The 14,236-nt window shown below is 44.0% G+C and overlaps 1 protein-coding gene across 6 annotated transcripts in view, besides 1 other annotated feature; it reads left to right on the top strand.

The window, feature by feature from the left end:
- The window catches only part of GMDS (GDP-mannose 4,6-dehydratase), a 621,800-nt gene that overhangs the window by 508,129 nt on the left and 99,435 nt on the right, over positions 1-14,236 (top strand). For all 6 annotated transcript variants that reach the window (NM_001500.4, XM_011514500.2, NM_001253846.2 and 3 more), the window contains one exon: positions 10,965-11,061. In NM_001500.4, the coding sequence (NP_001491.1) occupies positions 10,965-11,061 (97 nt within the window). The remainder of the gene's footprint in view (positions 1-10,964; positions 11,062-14,236) is intronic.
- Positions 7,338-7,839: an enhancer, noted in NCBI's record as "NANOG hESC enhancer chr6:1729872-1730373 (GRCh37/hg19 assembly coordinates)". NCBI's record gives its function as "activates a minimal SCP1, AML or CMV promoter by ChIP-STARR-seq in naive H9 embryonic stem cells {active_cell/tissue: H9 hESC(naive)}" and the evidence as "EXISTENCE:reporter gene assay evidence [ECO:0000049][PMID:30033119]".

Raw genomic sequence — 14,236 nt, 5'->3', positions numbered from 1 at the left:
ATTGTTGGGGCTCTTTTTAGTGCTGTGTTTTGTTTTTCCTTTCACATCAACTTACCACTAAGTATGTAGTGTGAAAAGGAAACACTTTTCTCCTACAATTAAGATGATAGTAGGATAACCCAAACAGGCAAATACTTGTCTTGACTAATTTTCTGTCATTAATCTTGTTAAATTTTGAGAAGAGAGTTGTAAGAGTACCCTACAACCAGGTGAGAACCAACATCTGCTGCTTGTTGTCGTTGTGGGAGGTGGGTAATGTTTCAGACATGGAAAGTGTTATTGTAGTCTGTGGTACTGAATTTACATTTTCAGTAAAAGTAACAAGGGCAACATTGTTATACATCAGAAAAGAAACCCATTTCTAAAATCCTCCTGGCAGAGGTAACAAGCTGTTTTGTGCTCATGCACCTTGCTCCCTTCATTTGACACTGTTTCCTGATGGATGGGATTTCTGGACCCTGGGTCCTAAGCTTCATGAAGCCTCTGGAGGCCGATCTTGAAGACAGCTCCTGAGAAGGAAGGCCTGGCAGCAGGTTCCAGGGGGTGGATCCTGCAGCCAGTGTAGCTACTGTAATGCATTCCTCGGGAATTTGCAGAGCTTGGGACTGTCAAACTCACTGTGGGAGAGCACATCCCTCCACTCAGTCAGTTGTTGGTGATGAACAGAACTCTCATGTAATGAGCCATACTTCTAAGGGTTCTATGTAGGGGCAAAGTCAGGAGAAGGAAACTCACTGCAGCTCTGTATTATTCCCTAACCTTTCAATGTGGTGTGTTTAGACCAGCCACCGTTGATCCCTGAGATAGATTTAACTCCCACCTCAGCAGCTTGCCAAAGCTTCTTTTGATGTCCATGCTGTGACCAGGTGGAGTAAAATCTGTGACACTGAGTGATGGAAATATAACTCACCTTCATTCATCGTCACTCAAAATCCCCATTAGAGCTAGAAAAAGCAGTCATGCTGAGAAAACCTGCGTAGAGTCCCATGAGAACTTTCTGGAGAGACTCTAAAGGGACTCACACCTTCAAGAGTATTCACATTATATTTGGTCATCATAAAGAGGTTGGACTTTTCATATAAGCTTCAAGTTACCATTTAAATGAGGTCTTCTTCTCTTTTTCTTCTCGCTTTCTTCCTCTCTGTCTCTCTACCTCCCTCCTGGAAATCTGAATCCTACTATCATTTATGTTTCTGAACTTCTAAGATGCTTAGATTTTTAACCCTTAAAAAACAAAATACTACAACATAAGGTGATGTTGTAGTGCCTTTGTTGGAGCAACAGACTTTTGAATTATTGGCACCTGCAAGATCTAAATAGAGCCCTGATGTCATGCTGGGCTGTGGGTCTGAGGCAACCCTCATTTCATTTCATAGGCAGTTGATGCAATTCACCAGGTCGCGGGCCCATTTTCCTTCTTAACTAAGGGTCTGTTAGATCCTCAAAATAACTGCTGCCTTCATAAGTACCTAAACAGCTGGCACAGCACCTCACACCTCTTAGGTGCTCTATAAATGTGTTATTTGCTCATCTAATTTCCTCTCAATGCCAAACTAATCAAAGAGAATTGAAAGAGATTTCCTAGCCCTGGAGAAATATAGACTCTAATTGGGTGTCAATTAATAAGAACACATTATTTACAAATATCTGTGCAAATATGAAGACATTGTGCAAATTTATTATATTGATACTGAAGTAATAGCCTCACAATCATGATTGGAGTTATGTTTGCAGAAAGTTAGATGTAAGCTGGACCTTGTCCAGATTGGGAGATACGGATGATAGGAAGGAGGAAGACATTCCAGGTGGGTGGGAGGGCATGAGAAAAGGCATGGAGGCAGGAGCTAGTGCATTGTGTGTGGGCACTGGGTAAGCTGATGAGCGAGGGTGGAACAGCCTGGCCACACTGGGCTCGTCAAATGCCTGCTCCTACAGTTCCGTCTGCTTCTCCTGGCCACTTCCCACTCATTCTTCAGGTCTTAGCTTAGGCATCCTCCCTCTGACCAACACCCTGCCTCCACCTAGTCTGTGCTAGGTGCCTACCTCCTGGCTCTGACAGCACCCTGGCTCTCTGCCATCATTCCCTCACAAGACTGTGGTGGCCATAGACTGCAGGCTCCTTAAGGACAGAGACATGTCTAGCTTCCACATACCCGTGTCCTTAGCAACTGGCTTAGCTTACTGGCTGGCACCTAGCGGGTGCTTGGTGAAGATTTGTGGGGATGGGAGGAAGGGAGATGGATAGACACAGTCGTGTAGGTGAAAGAGGTGCAGATGCAGATGGCCCAGAACAGTGGCAGCGACTCTGGGGGTACTTGGGCACTGGTCGTTTTGGCACACCTACTCACTGTGGCCCCTCAGGAAGCCTCTGTAAGTTTTGCTTCCCCCACACAGCAGAAGCTCCATCCTTATCCACTGGGGGTGGCTAATATGCCCCAGTTGGGTAAATATAAATGAAGCAGGCAGCTGGAGCGCATTTAATGAGCTGTGCGAGGTAGCGTGGACACGCTGAGGCTCTTTGAAATGCTAGCTCTGCGTCAGAAGATCTGTTCACTGTCATTTTCACAGCCGAGGAGAGCCATCTCTGGTCTTGTCTTCTTGTTACCATTATCATTATTATTATTTGATCTCTTCAGCTACCCTCAGTAGCACCACCTCGCAAGGCTTTTTCTGTTGAATTCATCTTCCTAGTCTGACTTCCTAGGGATGAAGCATAAGAAAAGGCTGTTTAGAGGGGAGCCTCCCTATTAAGTAATTTCTCAGTCCTACTGCTAAAAAGAAGAAAGCAAGGGAAGTATTGACCAGCTGACCACTCTTACTGAAATTAATGTTTGAGGAGGCCTCCCCACAAAAATGGCCATGCCCTTTTGAGAGGGCACCACACCTTTCTGGCTCAGACCACGTGAAACAGGTGTTGTCTGGGCCCAGGGTGGGGCAGCCCAGAAGCCTGGCTTGGCAGTCTTGGCTCCAGCACCCCTTCCCCACGTGCCATCTGTAAATTGTTCAGCCCTGTGAATTTGTGTTCTTCCATTTATGCACTGCAGATGATGGTACTTGCCTGCCTCTTGGCATATGAATTCAGCAAGTGACATTCATAAGGGCCCCACGATAGAGAAATCACAGAATAGATGTAGGCGTTAATCTTAAGAAGTGCCTTCTACATGAACAGCTGTATAATGGATTTAAATTTCACATTTTTTGTGGTAGATGGTTATTCCTTAACTACAACATAACACCTGGGCTGAGTACTGCCAGAAGCCCCTTACTTAGAATAATTATCATAAATAAGATGGAAGAATTCTAGGCATGGATGGAGGCTAACCAGCCTCCATTTCAGTAGCAATGCAAGAGGCCATACACAGCTAAGGTTCTCATAGATCCAGGGTTCACCGTTTACACTAGCGCTGTATTTTAAATGTTAGAGTGCTCTGTGATTAAAGCAGTGCTTCCCAAGCATAAAAACGGCACCCGCCCTCCTTTCCCCTGTCCCACTAGCAGGTCGCCCCGATGCCCCTTGGAAGAGTGCCTCCTCCTGGCCTATGGCCTCAGCCCTTCTGCCTGCTCAAGAGGCTCAGGCTGCCGCTCAGCCTCCCCACTCAGCCCTGGCCCTCTTTTTTTTTTTTTAAGACAAGAGTCTCACTCTGTCGCCCTGGCTGGAGTGCAGTAGCACGATCTCGGCTCACCGCAACCTCTGCCCCCCAGGTTCAAGCAATCCTCCCACCTCTGCCTCACAAGTACTTGGGACAATGGGTGCACACCACCACCAGGCCCAGCTGGGACAATAGGTGCACACCACCAGGCCCAGCTAATTTTTGTATTTGGAGACCTAACATGGTTTCACCATGTTGCCCCGACTAGTCTCAAGCTCGTGGCCTCAAGTGATCCGCCTGCCTCGGCTTCCCAAAGTACTGGGATTACAGGCATGAGCCACTGCATCTGGCCTCTGGCCCTCCTTTGAGGCTCCCTCTCGTCTTTTATAGAGGCCCCTTCAGAATCGGGGTCCCTCCAGTCACTGCCTGGCCTCTCTCTCCCCCTGTTCTGCCAAAAGGCATCAAGGAGCCACCTCCACACACAGCCTCACCCCATCCATTCAGCTCCCGACACCCTATCCAAGTAGCTTTCTCTGATGTGCCCAGGGCCCTGCTTGAGTCCCTGCATCCTCCTGACATCTGCCCATCATCACAGTTTGGCAGTGCTGACCGCCCTCCTCCCTGGGCTGCTGAGGTCGCATACTTCACCTTGGCCTGCCTCTTCCCAGGGTTGCCTGCTCTGTCTTCTCTGCAGATTTCATCTGCCCACCCTGTTAGTGGCTTCTGTGGTGGTGCAGGATCTGGAATGTTGATGGAGCCAAAGATGTCATCCCCTCCCCATCCAGAGGCAGGGTGACAGGGGAATCCTGTAAGGAAGTGCTGGGTCTGTAGCGGAGCTAGTGTGACAGAATACCCATCTCTGGGGCAGAGCTCAGGCTGGGGTGTGCTGAGGCCCATCTTCTTCGTTGCAGTCTCGCTTTCTCTGCAACGTAGAGGGGCCTGCGGGGAGGGGGTTTGTCACTCACATCTGCTACTTACAAAGCTCACATTTGTAATTCTTTTTTCCCTTCTTTATTAGATGTTTTTGTCCAGTTACCCCAGCACCCTAGTCCTCTAATCATTCTACAGGAGTTCTCACAAATCCCTGCTGTCTCCTACCCCTGCTTCCTCCCTGCCCATTTCCCTGGCTAAGCCCATCTGCTAGGGAATGTTCTGTGCTCTGCTGTTTGGGGTGCTCTGTGGGCCCTTTCCGACATACAGAAATGTTTGTTGTTCTGCTGTGGTACACTGTCTTATTTAAAGATAATTATTTGTTTCTGGAAATTCTATTGTACTGTATTACAATTATTTTGGCATTTATCTCCATGTTTCCAAATAACATGTCGTTACTGATTTTGCCCTTCTGGGACTTATCTGTCGGCCTCCTCTTATTCAAAACAAGAGTTTTGCCCTCTTCTTCTCCCCTTGACCCATCCCTCCGTTCTCTTAATACTCAATTGTTATGTTTTAATTTTGGAGTCAAGTCAATATTTAGTGCTACATTACCATGACTGACGAATGCTATGCATTCCAGTAAACCACATGTATTTTATCTTTTTTTATTTTTATTTGTTTATTTGTTGAGACGGAGCCTCGCTCTGTCACCAGGCTGGAGTGCAGTGGTGCGATCTGGGCTCACTGCAACCTCCGCCTCCTGGGTTCAAGCGATTCTCCTGCCTCAGCCTCCCGAGTAGCTGGGACTACAGGTGCCCGCCACCACGCCTGGCTCATTTTTTGTATTTTTAGTAGAGACAGGGTTTCACCATGTTGGCCAGGATGGTCTTGAACTCCAGACCTTGTGATCCACATGCCTCGGCCTCCCAAAGTGCTGGGATTACAGGCGTGAGCCACCATGCCCGGCCTATTTTATCTTCTATGTACAATTGTCATTTGTTTACTGTAGAGCTAACAGATGCCTTCTTTCTCTGTTCTATTGATTTTCTGTGTACTTATCACTAACTTTACCCCATACTCTGCTCCAGCTGTGCAAATCACCTCTCTAGGCTCTCAAACCCCGGTTGGGCTGTCAGTCACATCTTCCTGAGGCAGTCCTAGAGCCTCTGACCTGACCCCGTGTGGACTGCCCAGAAGGTCAAACCCTGCTGTGTCACTTCATGCTCCTCTGGGGGGCTCTCTTAGCTGCTATCCTGCACTGAGCCCCTATTTCCTGACATCTTATTCAAGACTACTTGGTTTGGTAAAGCAAAATCATAATTAGTTTCCTGAGAAAGATACCTGGGAAACAAATACTTTGTGACAAAATATACCTGAAAATATCTCTAGTCCAATCTCAAAATTAATAATGTTGCTGGTATATATTTCTAGATTGGAAATAATTTTCCTTCAGAACTTTGAAGGTGTTACTCCATTGCCTATTAATTTGCAGTATCACCATGGGAAACCAAGAGCCATTCTGACTCCCAGTCCCGTCTGTCCCCTCTAGAAAGTGTTTCAGACCTTCTCTTGGTCCCAGTGGTGTGGAACTTGATGTGAGGTGGGTCTAGACCCATTCGTTATTGGAGGACACCCTTTTGGTGTGGAAATGCATGTGCCTCTCTGCTTTGATCAGTATTCTTGACTTATTTTAAGAGAGTTGTTTGCTCTGCTCCATTTTTTCTGTACTCTCTTTCTGGAAATCCTGTTATACTGACTGCCCTGAGGCACTCTAATGTTCTTATCTTCCTTCTTCTGGTTTTTCATGTCTACACCTTTTTGCTCTACTTTCTGGGAGATTAGATTTCCTCAACTGTATCTTCGAAATCATCTCTTGGATTGTGAATTTCTATGTTTTGTTTTCAACTTCTAAAATCCTGTGTTTCACATTATTTCTTTTTATGTAGTATCCTGTTCTTGTTTGTTTGATATCTTTCCTGATCTCTCTGTCTGAGGACGTCAAAGGTGGTAGATGTGGGGATTTTCTTGTTTGTTTTATTTTGTTTCTGATTCTCCTCCCCCTGCTTGTTCTACTTCCTCCACGTTGCTTTTTTTCAGTTTGTTTCTTTGGATTTCTATTTTTCATATATGTGATTTTCCTTATATATTTCCTGTCTCGTAATACTTGGTTTTCTGCTTCTTTAAAAGTGGGGGGCCTAAAAAGCTACTTGTGAGTTTTGAGAGCATAGTTAGATCTTGTGGCTATTTTATTATAAGAGGACTTGACGGGGCCTTTTAGTTGGAGAATCTCTGATGCCCAGAGGAGCCTCCCCAGTGTCCTCATTGGAAGGAAATAGGCCTGACTGTCAGCCCACAGAGAGCTGTGTGGTGGGCCTCAGTATTCATCGTGCATACAAGCACCTAATTTCCTCTGTCTTCAGCATGGTGACCCACTCTTCACTGAGCCTGTAGCCTTCAGTCCAGCCACCTTCTACCTCAGGGAGGGTGAGGCAGTGAGTGTCGGGGAGGGAATCAGGCCCCAGACTGCTGCCTATGGAGATTTGCAATCAGGTCTCACTTCCTGAGCATTTGGGAACTTCTGCAAGTGTAAATTGGGGCCATTCTCAGCTCTCCCACTGTTGGTTTAGGAGACTTTTCTAGGACTTCTGCTAAGTCCTTTAACACTCATCCATCTGCTTTCCAGCTTCCAGAATTTGGTTTCTCACATCTCTTTCCTGCCCTCTTAGCTCATGTGAGTTTATTCCTTTTTTGAAAGGGGTCTGCGGAAGGAGCAAAAGTGTGTGAAAACCACCATCTTTATCCAGAAGCTAATGCTTCCTCCAGGCCTGCCTTATGGCACTGACTAAATTTTAGCTCCTGCAGCTTCCTACTTCCATACCCTAATTAAATCGCCTTTCTTCAGAATAATCCCTGAGCGCTTTTATGATATTTGGGTCACTACGAGGAGTGTGTTGCCCCCGCCCCACTTAGCTCTAATAGTCCCCAAACTTGACTCATGGTCACTACAAGGAGTGTGTTGTTCCCCCGCCCCCACCAACTTAGGTCTAATAGCCCCAAACTTGACTCATGTGGCTGACTTTGCTTTTGTTGCTCCTTCAAAGGAATGCCGAGTTGAGTAGATTTTCATAGCGCTTTGTCTTGCCTTATTGTCCTTGATTCTGTTATTCTTCAGTGCTTTCTATTGCTATTTAATGCTTATTAGGAGCCAACAATTTATTTTAAAAATTGAATTATACAGGATCCCTGCTCGGTGAGCTGTTGATCTCAATTCGTGGGTAGTAACTCTTGTTAATTAACCGAATCCTCTCCTCTCTGTCAAGCCACCGTCACTTCATTAACAGAGCAGCCCTGCTTCAAGTCGTAACATCACTTGTTAGGACATGTTAGCTGTTACCTTTTACTTGTTAATACAAGTGTTTCATGTATTGTTGTAACTGAATGTTTTTTGGCACTTGGCCGAAACTTTTGCTTACTGCCCTCATTCAGACCTGGTGCAAATTAGAAAGTGGTTTTTGCCAACTCAATTCAGCTTTGAGCCATTTCCTGATTACATTTGCTCATTCAATGTAGCTATATTAATTGTAGAGGGCAATGCCATGCCCTTAGAGACTGTTTTGACTGTAGACAGCATTTGCAAGATGCAAGTTCAGCAGACAGCGTTCAGACAGTGGCAAGAAAGTCGTGCAGGGGAGCTGGTGCCTGTTGAGTGCCAAAGTAGCACCAGACCCAAGTCTGACTTTCAGGCTGTATTTAATAAACCCCTCAGAGAGGGAGTGTTTCTCCTTCAGCCTTTTCCCATTTCAGCTAGTGTTACAAATCCCAAATGTGAGTCTATGACCAGCAAAGCAATCAAAGAGAATCAGTAGTAGACACTAAAATTCAAGCAGTCTAGCCGTGCAGGCCACTGCTATAAACAGGAATTAAATGCTTTCCTTCAGCTGAGGGTGAGGCGATACCATTAACCTGATCGGCCGAAGCAGGAGTGGGCAACTGGAGCCTGTGGGCCAAATCCCAGCTGAGGCCCTTTTGGTTTTGTTTTTGGTTTTTTGTTTTTTGTTTTTTTTTTTTACTGTCCTGGAGGTAAGGACAGGTTTTACAGTCTTAAAGCGTGGTTTAAAAAAAGAAGAAAATAATAAGGAAGAAAAAATAAGAGGAGGAAGAAGAAACAGAAAAAGAAAGAGGAGAAAGGAAAAATATGTAACAGAGACTATATGTGATCTGTGAAGCTTTAAGTATTTACTGTCTGGCTCTTCACAGAAACAGTTTACAGACCCCACCAAAGTCTAAAGACCCCTCAGGCACGGCCTCAGTCCTCTCCTGACTCACACGCTCCCTCCTAAAACAAGAAAAGCTCTCCAAGTCTTTACCAAGGCTTTGTCGATTTAAATATGTGTGTGTGTTTGTGTGTGATTTTTTAAAAATTGAATTATAAATAGATTTGAATCACCAGTTCTCATGGTTGTGGCATTTGAGATTTACCAGTGGAAGAACAGTGGAATATTGGTGCGCACATAAGTCAGCGTGGCCAGCTACAGGCGAAAAATCAGTCAGCAGAATTGTAAATGGTATTTCTGTTAACCCTTTGACTTGGTTGGAGGTACTATCACGCAAGTATCTGCTGAACTTGTTTCTCTTTGCGAAGAACGAAATGTGAGCAAAAATAGATCAAACATGCCTGTGAAATACAAATATACTTTCATCTACTGAAAGCCTAACCAAAATTTTTTTAAAAGGTTCTACTTAAACAATTAACTTTAGAATTAGATAGTTATTTAAAAAAAATAATAATAATGACTTAACCAATTGTCCTCCCTTCCTGTGGATATTAGCTAAGATTTGGTCTTTATCCACAGGAGATGTATGAGGGTCATCATTCCTTCAGGTTATGTTTTAAAACGCTTTCAATCTCCATGCTCCAAAACATCCACTTACCGTTTCCCGGTGAATTTTCCAAAAACTTAGCTCTGATCCTACCTACCAATTCCCTTGCTTTGAAATTCTTAGACCTATATGACCTGCCAAATTGATCTAATCAACATTAAGGAAGAAATGAAAACAAATTACCAAACATCCCTTTTTGTGTTAATTAATTAATATAAAAGTCATGGGGAAATGACCAGTTGTACAGCTGTATATTATTCAACATACTGCGCTATATAATTCTCTGTGTCACAGGACAGTTTTCATACTTGCCTTGAGTCCATTGGTAAATTCAGCACACTAACAAACTGATTATTCCTCCAACGGTGAAATATTTCCCCTTTGCTACCAAGAAGTGATTTGACAGAACATTCAGGTGATTCATCAGAAATAAGGCTTATGAGGTCAGTTTATGTCTTTAATTCTCAACCTATTCCAAAATATAACTGGGATCAACATTTAATGTTCATTTTCAGTGGTGCCTGTGGCTTACATAGGCAGGTAACTAATTTTGTCTTCCCCATGATGACTCTGACCCCGAGAGCACACAGAATTGTCCTGTGTCCATAGGATTCATCTCCAGCTCATAATGCAAACCAGTTCTAAGGATAAACAGTAAAGTCAAACATGTCATACTTGTTAATTTCTTCTCTTTCTTTGCAAAAAAGTTCATATGTAAAAATAAATAACCCAAATTCTGTAATATTATAGACATCCAGACGTTACCATTAAGTGAGTGGCTTGATTTATAAAAAATGAGAACATAAAATGGATAAGTAGAATTTTAGCGAGAAGGTAATCTCGAAGCATATGAGCTCATCCTGCATAGTGTGGACTTGAGGACTCGCTCCTGGGATCCTTACTGCTGTCAACCTTGGATGTTCAGGGAAGGAAACTTGTGTGCAAACAGTATCCTAGCTAGGTCAGAGGAGGTTATAGGAAAGTAATATTGATATACCCTCACTCAGCAGGAAACAAACAATTAGTTCTGTACTTTTTGGAGGTTTAATCATCTGAGACTTACTAAGGGGGCCCACCATTGACGGGAGAGCAGGAGAACTTGTATGTGATCCAGGGATGCATTGAATGGTTAATTAGGTTACAAAACTTATTCCCAAATGGAATGTGTTGAATTAACTCTGAATATCCCTAAAACTACAAAAGAAAGAAAAAAAAAGGGAAGACAGAAGACATTAATTTATATTAATTAATTTATAATAATTTATTAATTAATAATAATGAATTGACCAAGAATGGTCTAGAGAAATACAAAATCTTTGAAATCCCTGAAAGTTGCCCAATTTTATTTTCTGGCTAATCTGTTCATTTCTAAAGTCTCACTTCTGAATTCGTCATGATTTTCTTGAAAAGGAAAAAAACGCTGCCCTTGCAAAACAGATCTAGAAAGGCTTTGAAAGTCGCCGTTGCTTTAATAATCAGCTGGAGCATCAGCCTGTGCTGCTGTGGTTAATGAGCTTAAGCGCTCCTGCGGGGAGAGGGCTGGGGCATCCCAAGGTGCTACAGCATGGCCAAATGTTCCCAAGCAATTAGGAGCTGATTCAGTGTTTATCTTCCTTACAGGTGGGAAGGAAAGAATGAAAATGAAGTGGGCAGATGTAAAGAGACCGGCAAAGTTCACGTGACTGTGGATCTCAAGTACTACCGGCCAACTGAAGTGGTAAGGACTCTCTGGCCACCCAGTGCGTGGCCACATTTGGCTGGCTGGCTGGGCAAATGCGCTCATGGAATGCCTGGTGCCAGCCTTTGGAGCTGTCAGTTCAGCTCCCTGGCATCCTTCAGCGTGCATTTCCAAAATCAGAACACAGTGAATTCAATTTGAGATTATCATTCTTACCACAAACTTCATTGCTCTATAAAGGAAAACAAGAGTTAAACCCACCAAAAGAAATCATTGATTTCAGAAATGGAATCTCACATCACACGCAGATCTCCTCATGTTGGTCTCCTATTCTAATGGCTGGTCCCTGATAACCTACAGGATGCCTGACTTAACAACGCTGTCCCAGACCTGCAGGACATCTAGGTCCTCTCCAGCTATGTCTATGTCTGTGTCTGTGTACTCATACACAAGTGCATACTTGCACACTATACCATAAATGGTCTCCCCTGCTTTTTATAAGACTCAGGTCAGGGACCACCCTGTCCATGTAGCCTTTTCTGGCCGATACATCAGTACTGCTGAAATTCCTTCCCACTCCTTTCTTTGTATCCACATTATATGCTATACATAATTCTATTATAGTACCTACTATAACCCACCATAATCATTTGTTTACATGTCTTTCTCTCTTTACCAAATTGTGAACTCTTTGAGAATAGGGACTTTTAAAAAATATCTTAAGGCCAGGCACAGTGGCTCATGCCTATAATCCCAGCCCTTTGGGAGGCAGAGGCATGCAGATCACCTGAGCTCAGGAGTTCAAGACCAGCCTGACCAACATGTGAAACCCCATCTCTACTAAAAATACAAAATTAGCCGGGTGTGGTAGCGCATGCCTGTAATCCCCACTACTCGGGAGGCTGAGGCAGGAGAATCGCTTGAACCCAGGAGGCGGAGGTTGCAGTGAGCCGAGATCGCGCGCCATTGCACTCCAGCCTAGGCAACAAGAGTGAAACTCCGTCTCAAAAAAAAAAAAATCTTACACTAGACTATAACAAGGTAGGTACTTAATAAATACTGACTGATTGCTAGATGGATGGGCGAATTTCTAAATACAGAACTTCCTGTGTTACAAAATGGTTGTTAGAACATAACATCCTCCTTTCCTAAACTTATAAAGCTGCCTAGCTTGCTGTTATTGCTTTAATGAGGTCCATCCTCACTATGGAAGCAAAGCTCAACATATGAAATATACCTAAAGATAATAGAAAGCATCATCTCTAGAGAGAAACGTTCATATGTGTTACCTAGTGAACATTAACTGTGAAAATTGAATTTTTTGAAACCATTTTCCCTGTGTTCTGAACCAAATTCCTATCTGTTGTTCAACCTTGGAGAGGTTAGGAAAACCCCAGTGAAGAGAGACTGAAAGTGAATCGGTCATCATTTACCACTCTTTAAAATGTCTTGTTTCAGACAGAAGGAAAAAACTGTATTTCATGCACTCTACCACACAGGAGGAAATAAAAAGGAAAGGAAGTAACCAGTGCTTGGGAGAGGTAGGGCTGTGGAGTCGTGCATTGTCCGGGCACAGGGCGTGGCCGGGGCTCTGACACAGTGAACCATTGTTCCCGGTGCTAATGGAGAGTGGGTGTGCCTAGGAGAGGATGTGTACTGGCCCTCAGGGAGGAAGATGCCAGCCACGCTGTGCTGACATAGCAGGGACTGCCGACTGGAGCCCTGAGCTGTGCTGCCATTTGACTCTCTGGCCTGATGAGGTGCGACAGAGATGTCAATTTTCTGGAACATTGCACAGATCACATATTTATGCAAATGCTTTTCTGTATCTACAATCAAAAATGGTCATCTCAGAGAAGGAAATTTACTAAGCCAACAGAAACCTCAATTTTTACAACTTAAATGTGGCTCTTTCCCTCTCTGACACCAAAATAGTTTCAAAAGCTAGGAAGTCATTAAGAATGGCTTGTCTGTCATTCCTACTTAGACAAGGTGTGGGATTGATAAGGACACAGAACAAAAGAATTCACTGAACAGGAAAAGGACCCTCAGACTAACAAGACTGTTCTTGAATCCGCATCGACCCCCTTTCCTGCCGTGACCGACGCCGCATCCCTCCCGTTTCTTTTGTTCATTCAAGTGCTATCATCATACCTGTTCTGCAGCTCTGTTGACACTAGCATTCTTTGAGTATAAGAGTGGTGTCTGATTTCATATGCTTGCTTTATTTTTCCACCGATTTGGCTCTCTCCTGAGCTTCCCTTTACTGTCCAATTTTGAATCTTGAACTACGTTTTATCTTTCTAAGCCTCTAGGCTGCATTAATTTCATTCACTCCACTTCAACCTAATATTCCACTGGGTAAGCTTTTCCTGTATGGTGAGACTAAACTTTTAACCTCATTCCTCAGAACAACAAGTTTTCCTAAAACTTGGATCAACTTGACAGCCTCCTGTTGAATTGCCTCAGGGGTGAGAATATTCTTCCAGTTGAAAGGTAACCAGAACTGGAGACTATATTGTAAATAAGCTTTTAGTTAGGTGTGAGGTCCCAAGAGCCAATGGTCTAGAGCCATTTGGTATGAGTCCTGAAAAGCACCAAGCTTCTTTGAGGTTTGTCTACATTCAACTTAGGATACATGTGGAATTCTCTCACATCTAAACTGAATCTTTCCTTCTCAGGGACTCAGTCCATCCTGCACATGCCAAAGGCTTCTTATTCTTCTTATAGTCTGTAAAAGTGCTTTCACCGATCAGCTTAGGTCATCTGTCCCCCAAGATCTTCTGCACAGAGGGACACTCAAACCAATAACTATGTCTTCTTAGAATCATTTCGGAATGACTGATAGGAAAAAAAAATTGCCATAAAGAGGCCGAGGCGGGTGGATCACAAGATCAGGAGATCGAGACCATCCTGGCTAACACAGTGAAACCCCGTCTCTACTAAAAAAGATACAAAAAATTAGCCGGGTATGGTGGCAGGTGCCTGTAGTCCCAGCTACTCAGGAGGCTGAGGCAGGAGAATGGCGTGAACCCGGGAGGCGGAGCTTTCAGTGAGCCAAGGTCGTGCCACTGCACTCCAGCCTGGGCCACAGAGCGAGACTCCGTCTAAAAAAAAAAAAAAAATGCCATAAAGAAAATTTGAAAAAAAAAAAATAGGACACATCAGGTCTCAGAACACTGATATCCTACAGCAAGACTAAAGGGAAATAGAG

Source organism: Homo sapiens, chromosome 6 (genome assembly GCF_000001405.40).
Source record: "Homo sapiens chromosome 6, GRCh38.p14 Primary Assembly".
In the NCBI taxonomy this organism is placed as follows: domain Eukaryota; kingdom Metazoa; phylum Chordata; class Mammalia; order Primates; family Hominidae; genus Homo; species Homo sapiens.
Note: the sequence above shows the minus strand (reverse complement) of the source record. Positions and strands in the feature narration are given on the sequence as shown.